The sequence below is a fragment of the Homo sapiens genome, chromosome 11 (genome assembly GCF_000001405.40).
Source record: "Homo sapiens chromosome 11, GRCh38.p14 Primary Assembly".
NCBI lineage: Eukaryota > Metazoa > Chordata > Mammalia > Primates > Hominidae > Homo > Homo sapiens.
The window spans coordinates 17366023-17391762 of NC_000011.10; the positions used below are offsets into that span (position 1 = coordinate 17366023).

Sequence of the window (25740 nt, forward strand, 5' to 3'; positions counted from 1 at the left end):
TTTTCAATTTGTTCAGCTTTTGTTCTTATTATAGGGTGGGAGTGATGACCTCTCATGTGAGAGGGAAACCTGGAAGTCAATAGTGGCTTTGGAAATGGCAGTTTATTTTTCTTTCACACTAATGTAGCCAGCCCAGGGCAGATATGGCAGCTAGCTCTGTGATCATCTGGGACCCATGATCCTTTTATCTTGTCACTCTGCCATCTTCAGTATGTATCGTCCACCTTGTGTTTGGAAATGGCTTATCCATCTCCAGTCATCACATAGTATTCCAAACATTCTGCAGGAAATAAGGAGAGAGAGAGAAAGAGACAGTCTTTTAAGACATCCTTTTAGTTTAAGGATACTTCCTAGAAGTTGCTCTTGCCACTTTTGCATAAATCCAGGCCTACTAGACCCCTGAGTTTGCATGACCAAACATACCTGCAGTGGAGGTTGGGTGATACAGGTTTAATCTGGATATGTCATGGCCAGCTAAAAATGCACAGAATGGAAATTGAAGAGCAATTAGCAGTCTCTACCACAACAGTGTTCCAAGGCTTTCCTCAGATTATGAAAGGTGTCTGTTTCACAACACAGCTTAAGAAAACTCTGCTTTACAAAATTGCTGTGAGAGTTGTGGTCACAGCATGTCAGTACCCGGTTGGCACTGGCACCAACATACCCAGAATATTTAGCCCAAGCTGACTTGCATTCAGTCACTCACATGTCCTGAAGGCTTACCATGGCTCAGATGTCAGGCTGATAATAAGCTAATCCCTCCCTACCCTTAAGGAGTGCCCAGTCTGGTATTGTAAATCTCCAGCTCATTGCTGGACATGGTTGCAGCATTTTTAAAGAGTAGGCATCCTGTGTTTTTTGTCTTATCTGGCTACAGGAGCAGTGATGCATAGCTGTGAGGGTATGGTAGAAGCCAGTTAGCATAAGGTGTGGTGGGGATAAAAGGGTGCTGGGCCCAACTCTGTATGATTTTTTTTCCCTGACAGCTTCCCCAGCCAGCAGATTGTTGCTGGATCAAGTGGGCATGAAAGAGAATGAAGACAAATATATGTGTGAGTCAAGTGGGTTCTACCCAGAGGCTATTAATATAACATGGGAGAAGCAGACCCAGAAGTTTCCCCATCCCATAGAGATTTCTGAGGATGTCATCACTGGTCCCACCATCAAGAATATGGATGGCACATTTAATGTCACTAGCTGCTTGAAGCTGAACTCCTCTCAGGAAGACCCTGGGACTGTCTACCAGTGTGTGGTACGGCATGCGTCCTTGCATACCCCCTTGAGGAGCAACTTTACCCTGACTGCTGCTCGGCACAGTCTTTCTGGTAAGGGTCTTTCTGGACATTTCTTCTCTTCCTTGCCTTGAGGGACTATAACATAAGACTTATTCCCACACAGCCTGGGTCTTAGCTGGGGACTGAAGGGGAAACAGAGAAAGCTTGGACTGGAAGGACCAAGCTGGAGTCTGGCCTAGCTCAGCCCCAGAGTCAGCAGTCCAGCCTAGGTCCCTACACCTGGGCAGATGATGGTCTTAGTAGGTGGAGAGTGGTGACTGTAGTCATCAGGTGGAGCAGGGCTATTTGTCAGCTCATGGCAGCTTCAGGGTTTTGGATGGTCCATATGGCTTGAAATAGGAAACCTGCCAGTTGCTAGGGGAATGGGGACAGTATCCTACCCGTGTTCCCTGAGGATAAGGGGCTATCAGGGGCCAGGGACCAGTCCTGCTAGCAGCCCTTCTAATAAGGCTCTAGGTCCACTGTAAACTGTTGGCTGGTAGAGGCTGACTCAGTAGTCTTGTCTTTTTTTTTTTTTTGAGATGGAGTTTCGCTCTTGTTGCCCAGGCTGGAGTGTAATGGCGTGATCTCAGCTCACCACAACCTCTACCTCCCGTGTTCAAGCGATTCTCCTGCCTCAGCCTCCTGAGTAGCTGGGACTACAGGCATGCACCACCACGCACGGCTGATTTTGTATTTTTAGTAAAGATGGGGTTTCTCTATGTTGGTCAGACTGGTCTCGAACTCCTGACCTCAGGTGATCCGCCCGCCTCAGCCTCCCAAAGTGCTGGGATTACAGGTATGAGCCACAGCACCCGGCCAGTAGTCTTGTCTTATGGGCTGTGTCCCAAGATGGGGAGGGCTACAGTAGAGTGGTTCTGCAAATGCTCAATGCCTTCCCCAGGCACACTGGATCCTTAAAACACAGTTCACGGCAGACCCACTCCTGCTGGTGGGCTGGGGCTTTTTGAGCTCATATGCCTTGGTCATAGCTCTGGTCTTGGGTGTGGGTGGCTCTGCTGGTAAAATGCATCTCCCTGGGGCTGAGAAGAGTAAGGAAGGCAGGGAGTGACTGGGGCACTGAGGAATGTGGTCAGGCAATGCCATATGGGGCCCAGGATGATCCTGGGGAGAGAGGAATTATTCTTGGAAGTTAGGACTAGGTGTGTGTGTGGGTGGCATGTGCAGGGATGCAGGGAGGGTATGTGTGTCCATGGGGAGTATGAAATGGAAATATACCTTGCATGTATGGTACGAGGGGTTGTCTATGTGGTATGCACATAGGGATAGAAGATGGTGTCGTATTACACAAGGTTTGAAGATGAGGGTAGCACAATTATGTGGTACGTGGTGTTCATCTTCCATATTTTTGGCAAGTGCTACATACACTGTTTGATGTATGGAGGTGTATGTGATAGGAATGGAGATGCTGAGACATGTGGCAGAGGGCTGGTGGTTAAATCTCTGACAAGGAGGATGACACAACCACACAGTTCCCAGCAGCAGTTGTGTGGTTTCTCTGGCCCTTGCCAGTAGGTTTCCTGCTAATGTTTTCCTTCTCTCTCTGCAGAAACTGAGAAGACAGATAATTTTTCCATTCATTGGTGGCCTATTTCATTCATTGGTGTTGGACTGGTTTTATTAATTGTTTTGATTCCTTGGAAAAAGGTAAGGGGCTCCAAAGCAAAGTTCAGCCCTGTGTCTTGGGCTAGTAAAAAGCTTTTAGAGCAGCTGCTGCCAACCTTACAAGCCTCAAGGGACAGGCCTGCTGGAAAGGACTTTGTCAGTCCCTCTTCACCATCAGGTGTTGGGAATGTTGGCTGTGTTCCAATCCAGTTTCCTATCACAGAGGACCTAGCTGTCACATACCATCTGACCTCTGTATGGTGGTTTGTGACTCTGGGGTGATGTGTTGTAAAGCCTCCCTCTCTTTCTCCATACTAAACAAGTATTATATCTCTGTGAATGAACCAGACTTTAGTGTTCAGACCAGGCCCTGAACTATGTGTGGACTGCTTGTTTTTCTCACACATTTAGAAACTATGGCTTAGAGAGGGGAATTCCTCATATTTTATCTGATCAATAACTGACCACCAGATCTCACTAGTTTGACTAAGAATTTCTAACCCTCACTAGGTATTTCTAAACTAAAACATGTTTCTAAACATTTTTATCCCTGACTATGGCCCAAATAGTAAATAAAACAGCTCAAGCTTTAGAGGCCCAAGAGACCTATGTAAATGTGTTGGTTAAAATAGTTTTAGATAATAAAAGGGCCCTCAATTATTTATGGGCCTGTCAAGGCAAAATCTGCACAACAGCCAGTACATCTCATTATAAATAATTTAGGAGAAGTGGAATAATCAGTCAATTAAGAAAAATGGCCCTTTATCTAAAGTTGGCCATTTAGATTCACGGGACTTATTCCTGTTGGATCTAGGCCATGAGAAAACTGGATAAAAAGTGGTTTTCAAATGTTTCTTGTGGTATTTGTGACTGTTGTCATATTTCTTGCCTTTCTCTGGTTCTGATATTCAGGTGCTATTGAGAGAGGAGGAAGGAAGAAACTAGTCAGGCAGGCAGTTAGGGTGGGCCCTCAGTCAAATTCCTTCAAACAAAAGAACAGCCTGAAAAATCAAACTGCAGATAAGGGAACTTGTACAGGGGGGCTTGCCTAAAACATGCCCACAGCCACATACATTAAAACAAGGCTACACAGGAGACTTGCCTAGACATGCTCACAATAGAAAATTCCATCCCCTGACACATGCACAGTAAGGGGAACAAAGCCACATGGAGTAACTCAAGCTAAGGGCTTGCATGCACACTACGAGGATGGGGTGGAGCTACCAGAAATGTGTGCCTTATGCCTTTGTATTCAGCTGTGAAATGGCAACCCTCTTTTGGGCCCCCTCTCTGCAGTGGAGTGCTTTCTTCTTTTGCTTATTAAACTTTCACTTCAACTTCATCTTTGGGGTCCGCGCTCCTTAATTTTCTTGGTCATGAGACAAAGAACTTCAGGTGATACCTTGGGCAATGAGAGACTGCTACATTGTGGTGCATTGACGAGACTAACATTTTGGTGCATTGGCCAGGAAACATTGGAAGGGTGAGTAGGAGCGGACCTCCAAACTCTTTACTTTCATTTCAGAGGCTTCTTGTCCTCAGATTTTTTCCTGAAGACTGAACAAAACACTGGGCCAGTTAAAAGCTTTTAGAGCGGCTGCCAACCTTATGAGACTTAAGATACAGGCTTGCTGGAGAGGACTTTGTCAGTCCCCCTTCACCCTCAGGTGTTGGGAATGTTGGCTCTGTTCTAATCCAGTTTCCTTTCACAGAGGACTTAGCTGTCACATGGGCTAGAAGGAGGTCCTGGGGCAACTGAAGGTTTCTGTTTGAGGCTACTCCTCAGTGTTACCTGAAGGTCCCTGGACTAACTCCAGCCCCCGACAGCCCGTCAGAATGTTGGCACCAGGACTTCCAGACTTTTCTATTGCATTTTCTTCCTTGCTTTTCGCAGCTACTATGTCTCCTATTCCTTCTTTGTATGCAATGTTGTGGGTGTCTTTATAGCCTGGGGAGATAATCCTGTTAAGCAAAGTCAGCAAGTGCCTTAGTAACGAGGAATGTAACTCAAATAATTGTTGTTTTTGTGATTTCCTTGAGACAGGGGGACTTCAAGATTTCAGCCTAAATTTTCACTTAGGGCCTTTTTGTCCCCCAGTGATAGACATTCATGGCACTCTATAGGGGGATGTTTCACCCCAAGTGAATACCCTTTTCTCCATCAGGTTGTTTTTCCTTCATGTAAGAGCTCAGCATTGCCCAATGAATTTAAGCATTCCCTCTATGAGACAAACTAGTTTTTTTTCTACTGGACAGCATATTATGGGGACAGCCTATTAAGCCCCAAACCTCCCTTTCTGACCTCTGCTTGGAAAGAATTTGTAGTCAGAGTTTTTTCCTAACATTTCAAACCCTATAGTGCTACCTAGTGGGATGGGATTTTTCTCTGTGAGAAGCCTTGTCAGCCCTTTGCCCAAAACCTCTAGTTCCCTGATTCCTTTCTCTCTTATGTCCCTCTTTCAGTGATCAGGCCCCATGCCCTATTTGTAAGCATAAAAACTCCTCTTTCAACAGCCAGGAAGAAGCTACCCTGGGAAGACATATTTTAGCCTCAGTGTTATCCCCATTGGAGGGAGAACAGCCATTCAATTTTTACATTCTTTTGAGGCATCTGTTCTGTACACAGCTACACTGGCATCTAAGTGAGAAAGGGATCTTGTGTTTAGAAATCAATCAGTCTCATTCTCTAGGAATTCATAACTTTGCCAGGGTGGTAGTAAGAGGATGTAAGGATAGAGTTAAGATGTTCCCTTCCTTAAAGGGTCTTGCCCCAATCCAACTACTGCACAATCTCTCCCATGGTTCTAGGGAATCTCAGGAGCCTTATGGGCCAAGTAGGTCTAGGAAACCAGCAGGGCAGAGAGCTAGGACCTTGTGCAGGTGAGCACAAGCTAGCTCCTCCGGATTCATGGGTGAAGGTCATGCTTTGATCCATGGGCAGCACCTATAATGGTCACCAGGAACCTGAGGAAATGGGAGGGAAGAGGAGAAGGGGGACGCCCCTTCCATTTTTCTCTCTGCTGTCGATCACTCCAGAAGGACAAAGGAGACTAAGGGATGCCTTTTCTCTCCTCTTTTTCTAGATATGTAACAAATCATCTTCAGCCTATACTCCTCTCAAGTGCATTCTGAAACACTGGAACTCCTTTGACACTCAGACTCTGAAGAAAGAGCACCTCATATTCTTTTGCACTCGGGCATGGCCGTCTTACCAGCTGCAGGATGGGGAGGCTTGGCCTCCTGAGGGAAGTGTTAATATTAATACTATTCAACAACTAGATGTTTTCTGCAGACAGGAGGGCAAATGGTCCGAGGTTCCTTATGTGCAAGCCTTCTTTGCCTTGCGAGACAACCCAGATCTTTGTCAGTGTTGTAGAATTGACCCTGCTCTCCTAACAGTTACATCAGGCAAGTCCATAGATGATAATTCCACAAAGTCTGAGAAACAAACCCCTAGGGAACACTCGGATGCAGTTCCGGATGCCCCAATCCTTCCTGTCTCCCCTATCTGGGAACCTCCTCCAGCCACAACATCAACAACTCCAGTTCTATCCTCCCAACCCCCAACTTTACTGTTACCCCTACAGTAAATGCCTGATGGACCTGGTGCCACTAGGGTCCAAGTTCCCTTTTCATTACAGGACCTTGGGCAAATAAGAGGGGACCTGGGCAAGTTCTCTGATGACCTGATAGATATATAGAGGCTTTCCAAAACCTAACTCAGGTGTTTGACCTTACTTGGGGTGATGTTATGTTGCTCTTAAACTCTTAACTACTACAGAGAAACAGGTAGCCCTGCAGGCAGCAGAAAAATTCAGAGATGAACAACATGTCTTCTATAGCCACTCAATAAGGAAAGAAGGTGAGAAACAACCAGCATTCACATACCCAATAGGAAGCGAGGCAGTGCCCCTTGAACAACATAATTCGGACCCCAGTGGTACCTTAGATGAGTGGCAAAGAAAACATTTTCAAATGTGCTTATTAGAGGGCCTACAGAGGACCAGAGCCAAGCCTCTTAATTACCCCAAACTCTCCATGATAGATCAAAAACTAGATGAAAATCCCTCAGCCTTTTTGGAAAGGCTGAGAGAGGCTGTAGTGAAACACACTTCCTTGTCTCCTGTTAGGTATGTTTATACCTCACATAAATAATTCAATTGAGGGACAGCTAATTTTGAAAGACAAGTTTATTACTCAGACAGCCCCTGATATCAGAAGGAAGCTAGAGAAACAGGCCATGGGATTAGATAGCACCTTACAAAACCTCCTGAAGGTAGCCACCTCGGTCTTTTATAATAGGGACCAGGAGGAGGCCCAGGGGAAGGAGAGGAAACACAAGAAAAAGGCAGAGACTCTGGTGGCCACTTTGTATAAAACCCAGTATCCCCAAGGTACACCTGCTAGTTGCTACCAATGTGGCAAACTAGGGCACTTCAAAAGGGACTGCCCAGGCAGCAAGAAGAAGCCACCTCAACCCTGTCCAGTATACAATGGGGACCACTGGAAGGCAGACTGTCCTGGGAAGCATAGGTCACTGAGTCCAGAGCCAGTCTCACAAATGGTCCAGCAGGACTGATGGGTCCTGGGGCTCAACTCCCTGGCTCCAGTGGCTCAGACTGCTGTTACTACCCGGGAGCACCAGGTGATTCTGGAGTTCGAAGGGAGGAAGGTAGACTTCTTTCTGGACACTGGAGCCAGGCTTCTGTTTTCCTCTCCAATTCAGGCCTTCGTTCCTCCCATAGCACAACCATGATGGGCATCTCAGGAAAGACTTTAACTTGATATTTTTCTCAACCTATTAGTTGCAGTCAGAGGGACCTACTGTTTACACAGGCCTTTTTAGTCATGCCTGAAAGTCCCACTCCTTTATTAGATAGAGATATTCCAGCACGTATGGGGGCCACCATCCTTATGGCTCCAGGACAAACTCCGCCTCCCCTTAGTGGAAACCAGTATTAACCCAGAGGTTTGGGCAACTCAGGGAAGAAGTGGCCGGACTATAACCACTATACCAGTCTGGATCCACCTCAAGGATCCCACTTTTTTTCCTAACCAGAGACAATACCCTCTGAAGCCAGAAAGTAGAAAAGGGCTAGACGCCAGCATTGATAACCTAAAGGCACAAGGCCTCCTTAGGCCTTGCAGTAGCCCTTGAAACACCCCAATATTAGGGGTGCAAAAATCCAATGGGGAAGGGAGACTAGTTCAGGACCTCTGCCTTATTCATGAGGCTGTGATTACGATTCATCCAGTAGATCCCAGTCCCTATACTTTGCTAACTCAAATATCCAAGGGAACTAAATGGTTCACAGTTCTGGGCCTAAAGGATGCCTTTTTCTGTATACCTTTATACCCTGACTCCCAATACTTGTTTACCTTTGAAGACCCCTCCAATCAAACCACCCAGTTAACCTGGACTGTACTGCCTCAGGGATTTAGAGATAGCCCCCACCTATTTGGGCAAGTATTGTCAAGAGATCTCTTCGAATTCTTCCATTCTCAGGTTAAAGTTTTACAATATGTAGATGACATTCTCCTCTGTGCCCCAACTGAGGAAGTTTCTTGAGACGGCACTGAGGCTCTCCTTAATTTCCTAGCTGGAAAGGGATATAAGGCTTCAAAATCTAAGGCTCAGCTCTATCAGACTTTGGTAAAGTACCTAGGTCTGGTCTTGTCAGAAGGGAACAAGAGCACTAGGCGAGGAGAGGATTAATCCCATTTCCTCCCTTCCTCTCCCCAGAACCCTCAAGCAGCTGAGGGATGCTTGGGCATTACAGGTTTTTGTAGGTTATAGATACCCAGGTATGATAAAATAGGTTGCCCTTTATATCACCTTATAAAAGAAATTCAAGTGGCTAAAACTCACTTCCTGACCTGGGAACCTGAAGGTCAAAAGGCCATTAATCAGTTAAAACAAGCCTTGCTTAAAGCACCAGCCCCCAGTCTTTCTGTAGGGAAGTCCTTTAATCTTTATGTATCATAAAGGAAAGGAATGACCCTGGGAGTTTTAATTCAAGTTCAAGGCCCAGCTCAACAGCCAGTAGGTTACTTAAGTAGAGAGCTTGACTTGGAGGCTAAAGGATGGCCAGCTTGCCTCTGAGCAGTTACAGTAGTGGCCCTGCTAGTCCCAGAGGCCACCAAGTTAACCCTGGGGAATAACCTGTTTATGCCTCACATAAATAATGTGGCAGGCTTGCTGTCCTCTAAAGCGAGTCTCTGGCTAACAGACAGCTGCCTCCTCAAGTATCAGACTTTGCTGCTAGAGGAATCTGCAGTCCAGTTAAAAACCTGACCTTGCCTGATCCCAGACACTTTCCTCCCAGAGGAAACTGGAGAAACTGAACATAATTGTGAACAGACTGTAGTACAACCTATGCCGCTAGGGAGGATCTCAAAGAAATTCCCCTAGAAAATCCAGACTGGACCCACTTTATGGATGGGAGCTCTTTTGTAGGACAGGGAGTCTGAAAAGTGGGATATGCAGTAGTCACCCTAAATAACATTGAAAATGTGCCTCTCTCACCAGGCACACACACTCAATCAGTTGAGCTGATCCCTCTCACAAGAGCACTTGAACTAAGCAAAGGAAAGACAGCTAACATTTATACTGACTCCAAGTGTACCTTTCTAGTTCTCCTTGCCCATGCTGCCATCTGAAAGGAAAGGCACTTCCTCACCGCTAATGGGTCTTGCATTAAATACCATCAAGACATCAACAGGCTATTATCCTCAGTGTTCCTCCCATGAGAATTAGTGGTCAGACATTGCAGAGGGCATCAGAAGCGGGTAGATGAAATAGCGAAAGGAAACAGGCTAGCAGACCAAAGAGCTAAGTCAGCAGTAAGAAGGCCCCAAGGTCCCAAAACACTTGAGGCCCCTCTGATTTGGGAGGGCTACATAAGGGAAATAAAGCCTCAGTATTCCCCTACAGAGATAGAATGGGCCACCTCTCGAGGTATACTTTTCAACCCTCAGGATGGTTACAATCAGAAGATTGCAAAGTACGCTTGCCAGCCTCCAGCCAATGGAAGATTCTTAAAATCCTCCACTGAGCCTTTCACTTAGGAAAGCATAAGACATCAGTGCATCCAAAGATTGTTCTCAGGAGAAAATCTACTAAAAATGGTCAAATAGGTTGTTAATACTCGTGAAACCCTCTTAAAAATAATCCCTTTAACAGATGACTTCTTCCCCACCACAATCAAAGGATGGGAAGTTACTCAGGGGAGGACTGGCAGATAGACTTCACCCATATGCCCAAAATAAATGGCATTCAATGTCTTTTGGTGTGGGTGCATACCTTCATTAACTGGGTAGAGGCATTCCCATGCCCAACAGAAAAGGCCTCTGAGGTGGTGAGAATACTAATTAGTTAAATAATTCCTCACTTTGGGCTCCCTAAGTACTTCCAAAACAACAATGGTCCCTCATTTAAAGAAGCCTCTACCCAGTAGGGCCGAGTCTGCTAGGACTTTTTATTGGGTTTGGTAATACGTCACACCCTTTAGCCTCTACTGTGTCAGCCATGTCCCATTTATACAAGACAAATTGCTGGGTCTGTCCTGAGCGGTTTGCTCAGTTCAGTAACACTAAGGAACCTCTTGATGACTTGGTATTTACTGTCTTAGCATTCCCTTTGTTAGCTTTACCTTTAGCCATTAAAGACTTGTCAGGCATAAATGGAACATGGTATGGGAACACTTTCAACTGAGTAACTAACTCCTCCCAGGAAAGCATTTCCTCCCTGGTGCCAGAAAACACTTTCCCCAAAGATAAGCCTCACACCCTCAGGCTAGGAAAAGTTGGCCGGGTAATAGCAAATGCCTCCTCCTGTTTTAAAAGCAGAGGAAAAGGACCATACCTGGGAGATCTCAAATATTATAACACCATACTTGTAATTGCTGAAAGCTCGGAAGTTTGGAGAAAAAGACATAAGAAGGATGATCTAAGAAAATTGGAAGCCATATGGAGGGGAGGCTTTCAGAATTCAGCGTCTCCTCCTGGTTGAAAGTCCTGCTGGGAATGGCAGGCTCTGGGTAACCACCCTGACACATGGCACTATAATGTAAAAAACAACACATAGGCCTTCCCAGACATGCACCCTCATGGGATTCCAGACCCCCTGTATGATGCTTAGTAGTAGTGGCCTACAAATCTGTGGGTGAACAGAACAGGAGACTTCTGGACTGACAGCCCCTGTCACAAGGGGGCATTATCTGAGATATTGGCCAGGGCATATCGTGTCCCTGGTCTTTTGAAACTCCATTTGTCGGCCAGGTGTGGTGGCTTACGACTGTAATCCCAGCACTTTGGGAGGCTGAGGCAGGTAGATGATGAGGTCAGGAGTTCAAGACTAGCCTGGACAATATGGTGAAACCCCGTCTGTACTAATAATACAAAAAAAAAAAAAAAAAAAGCCAGGCGTGGTGGTGCATGCCTGTAGTCCCAGCTACTCGGGAGGCTGAGGCAGGAGAATTGCGTGAACCCGGGAAGCAGAAGTTGCAGAAAGCCAAGATTGTGCCACTGCACTCTAGCCTGGGCAACAGAGTAAGTCTCCATCTCAAAAAACAAACAAACAAACAAAACTCAATTTATCAGGTGGACCTTTCTCATTTAGCATGTAAAATTCCAAATGGCATCGTGAGTGACTATCCTGAGTATAGATATCCCCATCCCAAAGATGTTCCTATTACATGCAGGAGGGGGAAGCTTCTAAGATATGAGAAAGATCTGCCTGTGTCTCTCACAAGCTACAACTTAGAACTGGCCCTTCAGGGGACAGGGCTTTATTTCCTTTGTGGCTCCTGGCTACACTTAATCCTCCCTAGGCACTGGAAGGGAACCTGCACTATCGTGGCAGTGGTTCCTGACCTGTTATCTTTAAATTCCACTGATATGGCAGCATCATCTGGGGACATCCCTAGCCTAGCGTCTTTTCTAGTGAGTGTGCTATCTCAGATGCGCTGAACAAAGAGGTCTATCATTTCCATGCCCTCATATGGAGACTTAACTGAAAGAGAAGATTGGGTAGGACCTGCACATGACAATCCTATCTCAGAAAAACCATGGATAGGGGATTCTATAGTCAGAGGCCTATTCTGGTTTGCTGGTATTCCTCTCCTTGAAAAATCAGTACTTAATATTTCTATTATGATGCCACAAGGGTAGAAGCTAACAGTAGGAGCCATAGAAGCACAACAACAATTCATAAACTCTTTAGCCTCAGTAGTTATGCAAAATAGACAGGCCCTAGATATCCTTATGGCCAAAGTAGGGGGTACCTGTGCACTTTTAAAAAGAAGCATGTCACTTCTAGATCAATACCTCTAGTCAAGTAGAAGAGAATGTACAGGTGCTTAAAGATCAAATTAGAACATTGACAGATTAAGAGAGAATGCGGGCTCCAGTCCCAGTTGGCTACAATCCCTCTTAAATGGATTCCAGTCTTCTTTGTGGAACTGGTTAGCTCCTTTATTAGGCCCCCTTTTGCTCGTGTGTTTTGTACTAATGTTTGGACTTTGTATATTCAATACTGTAACTCAAATTGTTTCCTCTCACTTAGAGGCTATTAAACTCCAAATGGTGCTGCAGATAGAACCACACATAGACACGCCATTCTTCTGGGGACCCTTAGACCAATCTCAGGAGGAGCCCTAACTGCTGTAACCCCAACGACGCCCCCTTCCAGCAGGAAGCAGCCAGGAGTGGTCATCGTCCACTTTCCCCAACAGCAGTTGGGGTCTCCACTCCTGAAGCAGGGAATGAGAAAGGAGGAAGGAAGAAACCAGTCAGACAGGCAGTTAGGGTGGGTCCTCGGTAAAATTCTTCCAAACAAAAGAACAGCTTGAAAAATCAAACTGCAGGCACAGAGAAGAGAACTTGTACAGGGAGGCTTGCCTTAGACATGTCCACAGCTGCCTAGGTAAGAAAGACTACACAGGAGACTTGCCCAGAGATGCCCACAATGGAAAATTCCATTCCCTGAGACATGCGCAGTAAGGGGAACAAAGCCATATGGAGTAACTCAAGCTAAGGGCCTGCATGCACACTGGGAGGATAGGGTAGAACTACCAGAAATTCATGCTTTATGCAAATGAGATGCCCAGCACTCATCAATTTCTTACAAAAGCCTCTGTATTCAACTGTGAAATGGCGACACTCTTTTGGGCCCCCTCTTGGCAGTGGGGAGCTTTCTTTTTTCACTTTTTAAATTTTTGCTCCAACCTCACCTTTGGGGTCCATGCTCCTTAATTTTCTTGGTTATGAGACAAAGAACTTCAGGTGATACCTTGGGCAATGAGAGACTGCTACATTGTGGTGCATTGGTGAGACTGTAAAACTATCAGTTTATTGCTGATAACCCCAACATCAGCAATGATGCTTATGGAAAAAGAAAACAAACCCTTTATGATCAGCTGGATCCTTTAGTTGTTTGCAAAGATGACTCCAATCCTACACCCTTCCCTGAATCCATGTCCATTGCTGTGTAACTTTGTAGTGCCTCTAACTGTGTGACCTCTTTCAGCCAACTTAAGAAGACAGCAGTGAAGGCGTGCCAGTTCCAAGTGTAAGCCCCAAGAGGTCTTGTGTGTCTTCATTTGCTTCCTCGTGTGCTTCTAATGGTGCTGGGAGAAGAACAGGTCGAGACTAGCCTGCTGGAGGATGAGAGATGCTGGCTACCACATCCTTGTTGCTCCAGTGGAGGCCAGGCTAGATTAGATGACAGCCACCTGACTCCATGTGAGCAAATCTGAGATCAGCAGAGCTGGCAGAGCCAACTCTCAAATACTTGGAAAATACTTTTAATATGTAAAACATTTTAAATATTACATTAATATTTAAAATGTTTTTTAAAGCCACTGTTTTATACTGGCTTTGTTACACAGCATAAGCTAAGTGCTACAACTCCTCAGGAAGCTGAGCTTTGACCAAAAGAAGTGTGGTAGCCACAGAGATGTGTCTGAGACCCCCTTCGAGAGAGAGCCTGTGTGAGGAGTGCAGTCAGCTGATGGGCTCCAGCTACAGATCTCAGGGATCTGCATCAGTGTTCCAGCTGGTGCCATGCTCTCCCCAGACTGCTTCTGCCACTGACTGAGCAAGGCAGGAGCTCCGTGTTGGGAGCTGATGCTGGAATACTGAACTATATCCCGAGATCTCCAGCTGCTGATCTCGGGGATCTGGGGTGGCCAAGACTTTCTCAGAGTGTATATTAGGTGCTAGAATAACATCATTTTATTTGATGTCATTTTGTTATCACATTGATGAAAAAAAATTCAGTTCCCAACCTGAGCCACTGTCTGTGTGGAGTTTGCATGTTCTGCATGGGTTTTCATCAGGTACTCTGGTTTCCTCCCACATCGCAAAAATGAGCACTTCCAGTAAATTGGGGTGTCTAGATGGTGCCACAGTGAGTGAGGGTGTGGGTGTGAGCATGCCCTACAGCCAGATACCATCCTCTCCAGGGTTGATGCCCACTTAGTGCTCTGAGCCACTGGGATAGGCTCTGGCCACCCACAACTCTGAACTGGAATCATTGGGTGAGTAATTATTATTTGTTTTTAGTAATTTTTTTTTTTTTGAGACAAAGTCTCACTCTGTCACCCAGGCCAGAGTGCAGTGGCACAATCTTGGCTTACTGCAACCTCCACCTCCTGGGCTCAAGCGATACTCCCACCTCAGTTTCCTGAGTAGCTGGGACTACAGGCGCATGTCACCATGCCTGTCTAATTTTTTGTTGTTGTTGTTGTTGCGATAAGGTCTCGCTGTATTGTCCAGGCTGGTCTCAAACTCCTGAGCTCAAGCTATCCTCCTGCCTTGGGCTCCCAAAGTGCTAGGATTACAGGCATGAGCCACTGTGCCTGGCCTAGTATTGGTCATTAGTATTAGTAATCATTCCTAAATGTATATGTAAACATTTATTTCAGTGTTAAATATTGAAGTGTTTGGTCTTTATTTAGAAGTTTGATGTTGTGTTTTATGACCAGAAATATGCTGTGAACTTAATTCTTTCTTATAGCAGTTAGCCTATGGGAAAATTGGTTTTGTTCTACATTATTTTATTTAAAGTCATAATTTCCAAGATCCTATCAACTCCATTAAGTGAGGACTTACTGTACTGTAGCCTGAGGCTCATCTTAGTCTTCCCTCATCCCCCCTGCCTTTCCTTCACAGTCAGCCTGCATGGTGGTCTGAGGCCTTCCCCCCTACAGCCTCTCCCCTTTATCTTTCACGGTAATCACCCCTCATTACTCGTACTTCTAACTCCATCTTGAAAGCTGCTTCCTGGAAGATCCAAACGGACACAAGGAGGGACTGAAGGATTAGAATGAGGGAAGTAACCCATGCACTGCTTATTTGAGATGGGGAACCGAAGGACTTTGGCAGTTCCTACACAGAGACAGATGGCAGAGATGACAAGGTTTCTCAGAGAATGCGTGAGTAACTGGAATGGCTTTTCCTGATGACCCAGACAGCCTGCTCAAGAGCACACTGTTGCAGCTGCCCTCCTTGGATGGAACTATGGAATGATTTTTATTCTTCTACTTCCCAGGTGAATGGGAAACCAAGGACACAGTCAGCATTTAACAAAAAGGAATCTGCATCTCAGTCAGAACTGTATTGCATTTGCTTCTCTCTGGATTACCTTGAAGTTACTCCCCTTCCCTCAATAATAATGGCATTATGAAAAAAATTGGAATTGATCAAATGAAGTAAAGAGTAAACAGAGGAAAGACTACCCAAAGTCTGTTTTGCTTCAGTTCGGGGCTGATGATCTGGGGAGGAGGAGGTTGGGACATATTTGTGCTGCAAGGAACAATATTGTTTCATGCAGGGGAGGTGCATGACTAACAAAAGGGTTAACTGGATCCTATAAGCTATAGACAGCTTCTAGGCAGTGCCAACCTGTGCTGCATACCTGAACATTGTTGCTTCCCCCACGGAAGGTAATAAGCTGTGGAGCTGCACAGGCATTTTGTATTACTCGTTTCACTCATTGGCCTTGGTGCCTGCCAGAAATTGAGGTCGGGGGAAAGGCAGAAGTTCACACTCCTGGACCCAGTTTGGCCAGTCCAGGCAGCCTGCTCTTCACATCACTCCAGAGTTGGACCTGCCCAGAGTGGAACTAGAATAGGGTGTGGGTAGCACCTGCTTCCCCTCCCATAGATTAGTGCCCTAGACGGGTAGCTCTGGCAGAGGGGCTGCCAATAACCCAGAATCCAGCACAACGAAAGGCACTTCTGGCCCAGCTCTGACTAACCCCACTGTTCTTCCTTTCCCCAGCTTCTTTCAAGCTGGAATCAATCTGTTGTTCTTCGGACCTGAGGTCAACATGACTTTGATGAACGGAATTCATGTCTTCTTGCTAAAGTTATCTGGACACTTGGTACAACACAGAGTGTCTGATATCTGGGCCTGGGGAGACCTCAGAGGCCCTGGGGAGCCCAGAGACTTGTGGAGTGTCAGGGCAGCTCTCCTGCTGTGAATGCAAGCTCCCTGGGAAAGTTCTCCCTAGAAAAAGATGTGGGGGAGGAGCTCAGGTGAAGGACAGAGCCTCCTGCCCGTGGAGAGAAAGTGGGCCCTGGAGAAGCTGCATGAGTCCTCTCCAGCAGAAGGGCCAGAGGTGCACATTAGTGGGGCTCGGGTGGGTCTCATGGTGACATTGGCTGGAGATGCCAAATCCACAGGCGTTAGGCCTGGGCAGGTTCTAGTGTGCGAGTGGGCTAGTTTTTCTAGACTAGCACACAGGAAGAGGGTGGCCTGGCTTGCCTTCCCTCTGAAGCTCAGGACTGAGGCCCAGGACATGTCTCACACCATTGATATGAGTTGGGGACAGATGGGTGGCAGATGTGCCCAATCAGGCTGCATTGACACCTGACTGGCTGGAAGAAGAGCCTGTAAAGCAAAGAGCCCAGTCTTCCTGTAAGAAGGAAGAAGATGGAGGGCTCATCATGCACGTGGGCCAGAAAAAGTGCCAGTGAGGTTGTTCTGACTCCATAGGTGTTCTGGACATAATCTAGGCTGTCACAAAACAGCCAAGCCTGCTGCCAGTTTCCAATCTGGGATCTCAGGGAGGCCCAGGGGCTTGCTGAGTTCCACCTTCCCTCTTTCCCTTGGTTTGGAGACAACTTTCTCCCTGTGGTGAATGTGACACTTAGAACAAGGTGCAGCCCTACTAAAAGCTGGAGCTTAGGTCACTGGGACTGTGTGCTAGGGGAAAGAGGGGGAGGGAAGAGCAGGGCTGTGGCATTAGACAGACTTTGGCTGAAATCTTGGACCTGCCTCCTACTAGCTGTGAGATCTTAGCAAATTACTTCCTGCTATAGGCTAAATGTCTGTGTCCCCCTAAAATGCACATGTTAAATCCTGATGCCCAAGGTGATGGTATTTGGAAGCGGGGCCTTTGGGAGGTGATGAGGGTGGAATCCTCATGAATGGGATTAGTACCCTTATGTAACAAGGCCCCAGAGAGCTCCCTCACACCTTCCACCATGTAAGATTACAGGGGAAAGACAGGCCCTTCAGCAGACACTGAATCCACTGGCACCTTGATCTTGGACTTCCTAGCCTCCAGACTGTGAGTAATAAATGTCTATTGTTTATAAGCCACCCAGTCTATGGTATTTTGTTATAGAAGCCTGAATGGTCTAAGACACCACCCTTTCTGACCCTGTGTCCTCATCTACAAACTCAAAGAAGAACAGTGCTTCTCTCATAGTCCTGCTGGGCCACAGTGATACATGGTACTTCCCTTCTCCTTTTCAGGGGCCCTGGAGTTGAGACAGCTCTGCACATAGCGTGTGGATGGGCCAGACTGCTTCCTCTGCTGTCACATGATGACTAAGGGATGCAATCCTGGAGGCAGAATATCACAAACAAAATTATCACAGAAGTTCCTGCTGGGCTGAGTAGTGCTCAGGTGAACTTCTTTGTCCAGTTGAGGCCAGTGCCATAGAGAAAGGGTGCCCCCAGATGGAGGTAGCACCATCAGTGGGCAAGAACACCTTCGCGGAGGAGGGAGGCTTGGTCGAACTGCCTCTCTATGCCTGGAGCTTTCCAGCCCCTCCCTGGGTTATGCCTTAAGGCTGGGGGTCTCCCTCAGAGTTGGTGGAAAACCTAGGACCAGTGGTCCTGATTTTTCTCTGCCGAAGTAAGTCTTCTCTGTGGCCAGCAGGTGGCGCTAAGCCCTCAGTTCTGTGGGCTTCACACTCACCAGCAGCTTAAGGTCCCTGAGGGGTGGAGGAAGGTTACTCTGGTTTGGGCTCCAAGGATGGTACTGCCAGCAGGTCCTTAGTGAGTCTGGCCTTTCTCCTTGGCCTTAATGGCAGCCAAGCTGAGTCGCAAGAGCCAGCCTCCTAGGATCCTGGGCTGACTCTGAGTAGCTTTCACCCCTTCACCCTCAAAACCAGAAATGGGTCAGCTCTGCAAGGAAGGGAATCAGCGCTGGGGACTGCATGGGTGCTGGGAGAGGGCAGCTTAGAGCTCAGACCAGCAGCGGCAACTTCCTGGCCCCTTGGCCCTGCCTCTGGAGCCGCCTGAGACAGACCCTCACTGATGCCCTGTCTGCAGGCCTCACACTGTAGCAATAACCCTGGCTTTTTGTCCTGTACGCCATCCATCCGTTATTCATTCATTCATTTGTTCATTCATGTAGCACCTACTCCATGTAAGCCAGCCACAGTGCTGAGTCACAGTCCCTGACCTCAGGAAGCCATGGACTTGTGGATGGGGAGACAGACCCCTAAACGTAGGCAAAAGGAGAATGCCCACAGCACAGCAGAGGGAAGGGACCTTCCTTTTCCAGAGAAATCAGGGAAGGTTTCGAGGAGGCATCACTCAGCCTGGATTTTTATGGATTTCAACAGACAGAGATGAGGCCTGGGCAGTCCAGGCCAAGGGAGTAACATAAGCAAGGTCTGGGAGGTAGGAAGCTCAACATTATGTGTCAGGAGGGATAGGACAGCGAGGTACCTAGGGAAGTGGGTGGGCAAGTGCAGACTCCTGGCAAGAAAACAGTGGGCCATAAGGCCGGAGAGGCAGTCACAGCCTGAAATGGCTGCTAAGAAGCTAGCCTTGACCCAGAGGTGATGGGGAACTACCGAAGGTATTTCATGATGAGGGTGGGGGGTGACCCACCCTTCTAAGACCACCCTGGAGGCTGTGTGGCAGATGGACTACAGTGGGTGAGATGGAGACAAGGGGACCAGGTCACAGGCATTGCCACAGCCCCTAAAATCGTGGTCTCAGCTAGGAGGGGACACCGTGTGGAAAGAAAGACCTGGCAAAGAAACATGACCAAGGGCAAAATAAAAGCACCGTCTCTCTTTAACACTTGTTTGGCCGTTTCCTCAGCATGTAGCTGATTCAGCAGCAATCACAATAGTTAACATTTATTGAGCACTTACTGTAGACCAGGCACTTCAGCATTTTACATATTTTTCATTTACTTCCAAAACAATTCTATGAGGTAGGTACTATTAGCATCCATGTTATAGAAGAGGCAACTGAGACACAGAGAGGCTAAGTTACTTGACAAAAGTCATACAGCTAGAGCCAGGATTCGAACCCAGGCAGTTGGCTCGAGAGTTAGTGCTCCAATTACTACACTAATGCCTATGACACCTCTATACCTCTCCCTGGGCACTCCAGCCTTCCAGCAGGTCCCTGGGAGTAGAGACAGAGCCCAGGGCTGCAAAGCCTGGTGAGTGCCCAAAGGCTGAGTTGGCCAGACAGGCTGACAGGGCTGGGCCACCTGAGACAGGAGAGGGGAAAGTCCCCCTGAACTGGTGGAAGAGGTGCCAGCCTTCCGTCCCTCCCCTGCCCTCCCCGCTAGGGTCTATGGCGCCTCTTGAAGGGGGTGGCAGCTGCCAGTCCCTGCCTCCCTTCCCACCAGCATGCTTGCTGCCTCCCCAGCAAGAAAAGCCCAGAGTTTAGGTCATGAGGGGGAGGCTTTATTGACAACGGAGAAGGCAGAGTTCTAGGCAAGTTCACACAACACTGCTCCAAGGGTCCAGGCACGGGTCAAACCCGTCAGGACCAAGGGCCTCTTCACCTCAGGGACCTCAGTCCCTCCCACCATCCTGAACCTTCCCACACCTTTTCCAGCAACCCAAAGATATCCACCCCCAAGCCACCTTCTGGACAAAGTGAGTGGCAGCCACTGTTGTGGAGCCAGGACCAGAGTTGGGTCTGAGGCCTAATCATGTGTGGTGGGCACAGTACCCCCTCTCCTCAGCCTCTGGGGACAGGCAGGAGGTAGGCAGGGGCAGCAGCCCCAGCCCACAGAGCCCTCACTGCACGAGGCCGATGTGGCAAAAGGCAGGAGCCCTGGCATCTCCTCCTCCCTGTGCCTGAGCGGGGCTCTACAAAGCCGAGCCTCCTCAGGTCACCTTCCCCTGCTTCCTCCCCTTCCAGACCTGAAACTGGCCCTCGGAGGGGAGCCCTGTCAGCCCCAGGCTGTCCCTGCCGGTGTAGGCTCCACAGCACCAACCCTCCAGCGGGAACACCCTCTCTCATCAACTGCCCTCCCTGCTGGCCAGGCCCAGCCCTTAGCCAGGTGCTTTTTCAGGGACCAAGTAGAGCTGGGGCCTGACCACAGGCACTTCTTGGAGCCACAGACGCAAAGCAGCAGCCCTCGGGGATTGTTCTTCCCCAGCCACCGGCCCAGAGTGTGGCTGGTCAATCGTGGGGACCCAGGACTGGCTGGACGCACAGCTCTAGGGCCCAGTACCTCCCACAGCCTCTGCAGCCTTGGGCGGGGGAGAGGGGTGAGCCAGTCCTGAATTGGGTTGGGAGGAGCAGGGACAAAAATAACCCAGTACAGGTTCCTGCTGAGGCCAGAAATAGCATAGTGACAAGTGCCTTGTAACACCCTGGATGAGCAGCAGGGGGAGGCTGAGCTGAGGCTGGCCCAGCCTCACACCAGGCCCTGGCCGGGCTACATACCACATGGTCCGTGTGTACACACGCGTGTGGGGGGCCCGAGAGACCATGGCTCAGGACAGGGAATCTGGAGAGATGCTGAACTTGGGCTTGGCCTTGGCCATGGGCACGCTGCGCTTGCGCAGGGGCCCGCGGGCTGAGGCGAGGGTCAGAGCTTCCAGTAGGCTGTGGTCCTCATCAAGCTGGCGGGCCGTGCAGAGTGGTGTGGGCACTTTGACGGTGTTGCCAAACTTGGAGTAGTCCACAGAGTAACGTCCGTCCTCCTCAGCTACAATGGGCACAAAGCGCTGGCCCCACAGGATCTCATCGGCCAGGTAGGAGGTGCGGGCCTGGGTGGTGATGCCCGTGGTTTCCACCACGCCTTCCAGGATGACGATGATCTCGAGGTCCTGGTGGTGGTGCAGGTCGCTGGGTGCCAGGTCGTAGAGTGGGCTGTTGGCATCAATGACATGGTAGATGATCAGCGGGGCCACCAGGAAGATGCTGTTGCCACCCACGCCGTTCTCCATGGGGATGTCCACCTGGTGGAGGGGCACCACCTCGCCCTCGGGGCTGGTGGTCTTGCGTACCACCTGCATGTGGATGGTGGCGCTGATGATCATGCTCTTGCGGAGGTCACCCACACGTAGCATGAAGCAGAGGCGGCCGTGGCGCAGGGCGATCACCGCATGCTTGCTGAAGATGAGGGTCTCAGCCCTGCGGTGGGCTTGGGCAGTCTTCATGAAGATGCAGCCAAGCATGATGGCGTTGATCATGAGCCCCACGATGTTCTGCACGATGAGGATCAGGATGGCCAGTGGGCACTCCTCAGTCACCATGCGCCCCCCAAAGCCAATAGTCACTTGGACCTCAATGGAGAAAAGGAAGGCAGACGAGAAGGAGTGGATGCTGGTGACACAGGGCTCAGCAGTGCCCTCGCTGGGGGCCAGGTCACCGTGGGCGAAGGCGATGAGCCACCAGGCCATGGCGAAGAGCAGCCAGCTGCACAGGAAGGACATGGTGAAGATGAGCAATGTGTGTGGCCACTTGAGGTCCACCAGCGTGGTGAACACGTCCTGCAGGAAGCGGCCCTGCTCCCGGATGTTCTTGTGGGCCACGTTGCAGTTGCCTTTCTTGGACACAAAGCGGGCCCTCCGCTGGCGGGCACGGTACCTGGGCTTGGCAGGGTCCTCTGCCAGGCGTGTCAGCACGTATTCCTCGGGGATGATGCCCTTGCGGGACAGCATGGCTCCGGTGACCCCCAGGGAGGGGCTTCCCCCATCGGAGGCACCCCTCGGACGTGGCCTAGGGCCTCACTGCAGAGTCCTCTCGGTGGGCACCTTCTCACCCTGGGGCTGCACTCAGCCTGTGCTGGCCTCACTTCTGAGATAACTCCCCACCAGACTCTTCCTTACCTCCACCTGGGTCCCACTTCACTTCTTAATACCAGCCTCAGGCCGGGCGCGGTGGCTCACGCCTGTAATCCCAGTACGTTGGGAGGCTGAGGAGGGCAGATCACTAGGTCAGGAGTTCGAGACCAGCCTGACCAACATGGTGAAACCCCATCTCTACTAAAAATACAAAAGTTAGCCGGGCATGGTGGTGCGCACCTGTAATCCCAGCTACTCAGGAAGCTGAGGCAGGAGAATCGCTTGAACCCGAGAGGCGGAGGTTGCAGTGAGCCAAGATCACGCCACTGCACTCCAGCCTGGGCGACAGAGCGAGACTCCGTCTCAAAAACAAAAAACAAAACAAAAAAAACAGCCTCACCCTTGAGCCCACCTGCCTGGCGCCTAGGGAGCCCCCAACCCTGCCGGCTCTCCACCTGGCCCTGCGTCCTCCCCCAGCTTCCCCCACCAGCTGACCACCCCTGGGCCTCCCGCTAAGAGCCCTTCTCCCCGCCCAGCCTGCCTTCCCAGCCCAGCTCAGAACTTAACACCTCCGGATCTCTCCCACTAACCGGACCTCACCCCCACCTCCGGGTCTCCCGCCTCACCTGTCTGGCCTTCGGGCTCCCAGGCTCCAGCTCAGGTCCTGGCCACCCCCGCCCCGTCTCTCCTCCAGGTGCGCCCCCTATGTCCTACTCCACCCCTCCCGGAGCGCCCCCGCCGCTTTCCGGATCCCCCTCCAGCTCTCGTCCTCTCTGTCTCCTTGGGATCCTGCGTTCTCTGGAGTCACCACCCCACCCGGCTCAACCGCGGCTCCCCGGACCTGCGCGCGACCCGGCGGGGCTGACTCCGAGTCGCGGCCTCCCGGTCCCTGCCGCCCGCCCGCGCCGCGGCTCCCGCTCCGCGCCGGGTCCCGGCCCCGCCCGCCGCCGCCGCTGCACCTGCTCCTGCTCCTCACGCCACGGCCGTCGCCTCCCCGCCCCCTCCCGCCGCCCGGGCGCTCGCGGCTGGCCGTCCTCCCGTCTGTCTGTCCGTCCGTGGGTCCGCGGAGACCGACCTGGGCTAGGCAGGGGTCTAGGACGGCGGGAGGGGGGCGCACGAGGAGAGGAACGGGGCCGGGGACCGCCAGGGGGAGCCCGACCTGCACCGGAGCGCAGGGGGCGGGGCCGGAGCAAGCCCCCGCCCCTCCCGCGCCCCTCCCCGCCCCCGCCCTCCACCTCCCCTCCCGGGACTCACAACCCGGCCTTTGGAGTTTTTCTGATCCGCGGAACCCAGAGGTTCCTCCTGCCCACGCTCTACGAAAGTGGGGGGCTGGGAGGGATCTGTGACCCGCCCTCCCAGTCTGGGGCCGCCGCCCTGTCGCCCTGGCTCCCCTCCCCCAATATCCCCATCCGTATTTGGGTCAGTAATCCGCCTCTCGGCCGCGCCAGGTTTGCAGGTTCCCCGGGAAAGGAGGCGCTGAGAGGCGGCGCCACCAATCCCAGGGCTGGCGGAAATTAGGCGGTCCGAGGACTTCTCAACCTGCAGCTGCTTCTCTTTGGGGGATGCTCTTAATCTTAGTCTTGAATCCTTTGACAATCTGATGGAAGCTCAGACTCCCTCTCATTAAAAAAAAAAAAAAAAAAAAAAAAAAAAAAGGCCTCGGCAGGAAAGGAGCACAGTTTAACACCTGCTACTGCTGTGGGGCAGCCTGGGCGGCTCCATCTTCTCAGCCATTCCGGCCCTACTTTAAAGAAGGTTTGAGCCGAGGCCACTTGCTTTACACTTTCTCACACCTGTCACCTGACTTCTTCCACGTTAGGTCATGGGTGGTATTTAGGCCTGAACAGTGTGTTAGGGCTGCCTCGGGCACTGGGGGACCCAGGCTCTTGGTCCCGGCATGGTGGTGTTTCTGTTCAGGCATCAGCCTGAGGCTGCCCTGTGGCATGGACCCGGGTTCTCAGCTGGGAGGGAAAGCCTGCTAGATCTCTGTTGTTGGAACAGTAACGGCTTTACCGCTGTCTGTGGCTCAGATCCTTATGGAAGAACCCCTGACCATCTGCGGCCATTTTGTTGGAGTGGGGGCTTGAGACAGGGTCTGGAAAAGGCAGTGTGGCTGTGGGCCACAGTGGGGGCAAGATATGCATTTTATATTGGATTTTCCTTTCTCTCCCTACCCACCTGCAGGCAGAGCGAACACCGCTACAAAGGATGGGTGTGATCATGGGCTATATTAACAAAGATGCAGTGTCTAGGAAGGGGAGGGTAAAATGAGATGAGCAGAGTGGGAAGCTCAAGGAGACAGGGTTACATGGGGAAATCTCTGAGGCAACTACAACTGTCCAGCCATCAGAAAAGGAAAGTCCCCCAGGGATTTGGGCACTATTGCAGAAACACCTGGCCTTGAAGGAGGATGAACTAGTAGTTTTTTGTGGCCCAAAGGGTAGAACCAGGACACTAAGTGGAACAGAGGCAGGCTTTGGTTTCACATATGCAAGAGTCAGTTCTAATAACAATAACCAGAGATGAGCCACATCTGTGGGGTACCCAAATCAAGTCGGTGGGCCATGAGGGATGTTATACAGGGATTTTGGGCCAGGATGACCTTGGGCATCCCTGCAACACCTCACTGTGGGCCCAGCCCTGCCCCTGCTACTTCCCTTCAATCTGTTGAGGTGGGGTGGCTTTGGAGCAGTGGTAGGCTTGTGGAGTCCTCTTTCAGTTCCCCGGCTCTGCTCTTGGGAGATCTCACAGTGGAGGAAGCTGCTGGGCCCCTGGGGAAATCTCAGAGCTGGAAAGGCTGGGTTCTGCCTCCTGGTGCAGCCTTGAGGCCTTACCTCCCTCCCTGCTGCTCACCCTTCTGAGAGGCTGAGTCTCCCACCTGAAAGGCTCAGCCTCCCCTTTTGCTCCATCCTGCACTTGCTTATAGTCATCTCCACCAAATACTGAACTTGTCAAGTCGCTTTCTTGCTCAAAACCCTTCTCCCTTTTTGTCCATGGGCATAGCCCACACTCCTTGCTCTGGCATTCAGGGCTCTCTGATATGATGCCCTCCCCACTGCTGTAATCTCTCTCCCACCTCCCTGATCAACCAACACTCTTAACACACTTCCACCATCACTCCTTAGCTCCTGCTGTCCCTACCTGCCACCCCAACCCTTTCTCTGACTTTCTGCCTAACCAATCCCTATCCCCCACAATATTTAACTCAAATTTTGTCTTTTCCAGGCAGGCTGCCAGGCTTTACAGAGCTCTTCCTTTCCGAGCTTCTCTGGCTCCTGGAACATCCACAGGGGTCTGCACTGGACCTGCCTCCGATAACTGGTGGGCTTTTCTTATGTTGTGCCTCTATGATCCCCTTGCAGCCAAGAGGATGCAGGTTCAAGACTCTTAGGTCTGCACCTCAGGGCTTGGTGCAGCCAGTACTGCAGATGATATGCAAATGATCATAAAATGAGATGTAAATGAGCACCTGCCATTTCTTGGCCAAGGGCAGGTGTGCACTCTTGTTTCGTGATGCAGAGGAAGTCAGGACAGCTGCTGTTTTAGTC

The 25740-nt window shown here is 50.1% G+C and overlaps 2 protein-coding genes across 8 annotated transcripts in view, besides 7 other annotated features; one reads left to right on the top strand and one right to left on the bottom strand.

Annotated features, from left to right (window-relative positions):
* Positions 1-15639, top strand: part of NCR3LG1 (natural killer cell cytotoxicity receptor 3 ligand 1) — a 29862-nt gene extending 14223 nt beyond the window's left edge. For 3 of the 4 annotated variants that reach the window (NM_001202439.3, XM_011520074.4, XM_011520075.4), the window contains exons 3-5: positions 987-1325; positions 2845-2942; positions 5984-11319. In NM_001202439.3, the coding sequence (NP_001189368.1) occupies positions 987-1325; positions 2845-2942; positions 5984-6490 (944 nt within the window). In that variant the 3' untranslated portion in view covers positions 6491-11319. Of the gene's footprint in view, positions 1-986; positions 1326-2844; positions 2943-5983; positions 13644-15074 lie in introns of those variants that run through there. The other variant, XM_047426906.1, reaches the window with a different exon arrangement.
* Positions 5696-5896: a silencer, noted in NCBI's record as "peak1220 fragment used in MPRA reporter construct". NCBI's record gives its function as "represses an SCP1 promoter by STARR-seq MPRAs in K562 erythroleukemia cells {active_cell/tissue: K562}" and the evidence as "EXISTENCE:reporter gene assay evidence [ECO:0000049][PMID:32103011]".
* Positions 10318-10856: an enhancer, noted in NCBI's record as "NANOG hESC enhancer chr11:17397887-17398425 (GRCh37/hg19 assembly coordinates)". NCBI's record gives its function as "activates a minimal SCP1, AML or CMV promoter by ChIP-STARR-seq in naive H9 embryonic stem cells {active_cell/tissue: H9 hESC(naive)}" and the evidence as "EXISTENCE:reporter gene assay evidence [ECO:0000049][PMID:30033119]".
* Positions 12163-13362: an enhancer, noted in NCBI's record as "MED14-independent group 3 enhancer chr11:17399732-17400931 (GRCh37/hg19 assembly coordinates)". NCBI's record gives its function as "activates an origin of replication core promoter dependent on BRD2, BRD4, P300/CBP and CDK7 cofactors, and independent of MED14, by STARR-seq in HCT116 cells {active_cell/tissue: HCT116}" and the evidence as "EXISTENCE:reporter gene assay evidence [ECO:0000049][PMID:35650434]".
* Positions 19226-23324, bottom strand: KCNJ11 (potassium inwardly rectifying channel subfamily J member 11). 4 transcript variants are annotated; one of them, NM_001377296.1, is made up of 3 exons: positions 22819-23135; positions 21996-22054; positions 19226-21824 (listed from the first exon to the last, which is right to left on the bottom strand). In NM_001377296.1, exon 3 carries the CDS (start codon positions 21806-21808, stop codon positions 20897-20899), a length of 912 nt encoding a protein of 303 aa, NP_001364225.1. In that variant the 5' UTR covers positions 21809-21824; positions 21996-22054; positions 22819-23135; the 3' UTR covers positions 19226-20896. The 4 variants fall into 4 exon arrangements, with proteins under 4 accessions (NP_001364225.1, NP_001159762.1, NP_001364226.1 ...); NM_001166290.2 differs by lacking the exons at positions 21996-22054; positions 22819-23135 and adding an exon at positions 23152-23324; NM_001377297.1 differs by lacking the exon at positions 21996-22054.
* Positions 20512-21165: an enhancer, noted in NCBI's record as "H3K27ac-H3K4me1 hESC enhancer chr11:17408081-17408734 (GRCh37/hg19 assembly coordinates)". NCBI's record gives its function as "activates a minimal SCP1, AML or CMV promoter by ChIP-STARR-seq in naive H9 embryonic stem cells {active_cell/tissue: H9 hESC(naive)}" and the evidence as "EXISTENCE:reporter gene assay evidence [ECO:0000049][PMID:30033119]".
* Positions 21166-21819: an enhancer, noted in NCBI's record as "H3K27ac-H3K4me1 hESC enhancer chr11:17408735-17409388 (GRCh37/hg19 assembly coordinates)". NCBI's record gives its function as "activates a minimal SCP1, AML or CMV promoter by ChIP-STARR-seq in naive H9 embryonic stem cells {active_cell/tissue: H9 hESC(naive)}" and the evidence as "EXISTENCE:reporter gene assay evidence [ECO:0000049][PMID:30033119]".
* Positions 23028-23537: a silencer, noted in NCBI's record as "silent region_3185". NCBI's record gives its function as "represses an Ori minimal core promoter by ATAC-STARR-seq in GM12878 lymphoblastoid cells {active_cell/tissue: GM12878}" and the evidence as "EXISTENCE:reporter gene assay evidence [ECO:0000049][PMID:35858748]".
* Positions 23618-23717: a silencer, noted in NCBI's record as "silent region_3186". NCBI's record gives its function as "represses an Ori minimal core promoter by ATAC-STARR-seq in GM12878 lymphoblastoid cells {active_cell/tissue: GM12878}" and the evidence as "EXISTENCE:reporter gene assay evidence [ECO:0000049][PMID:35858748]".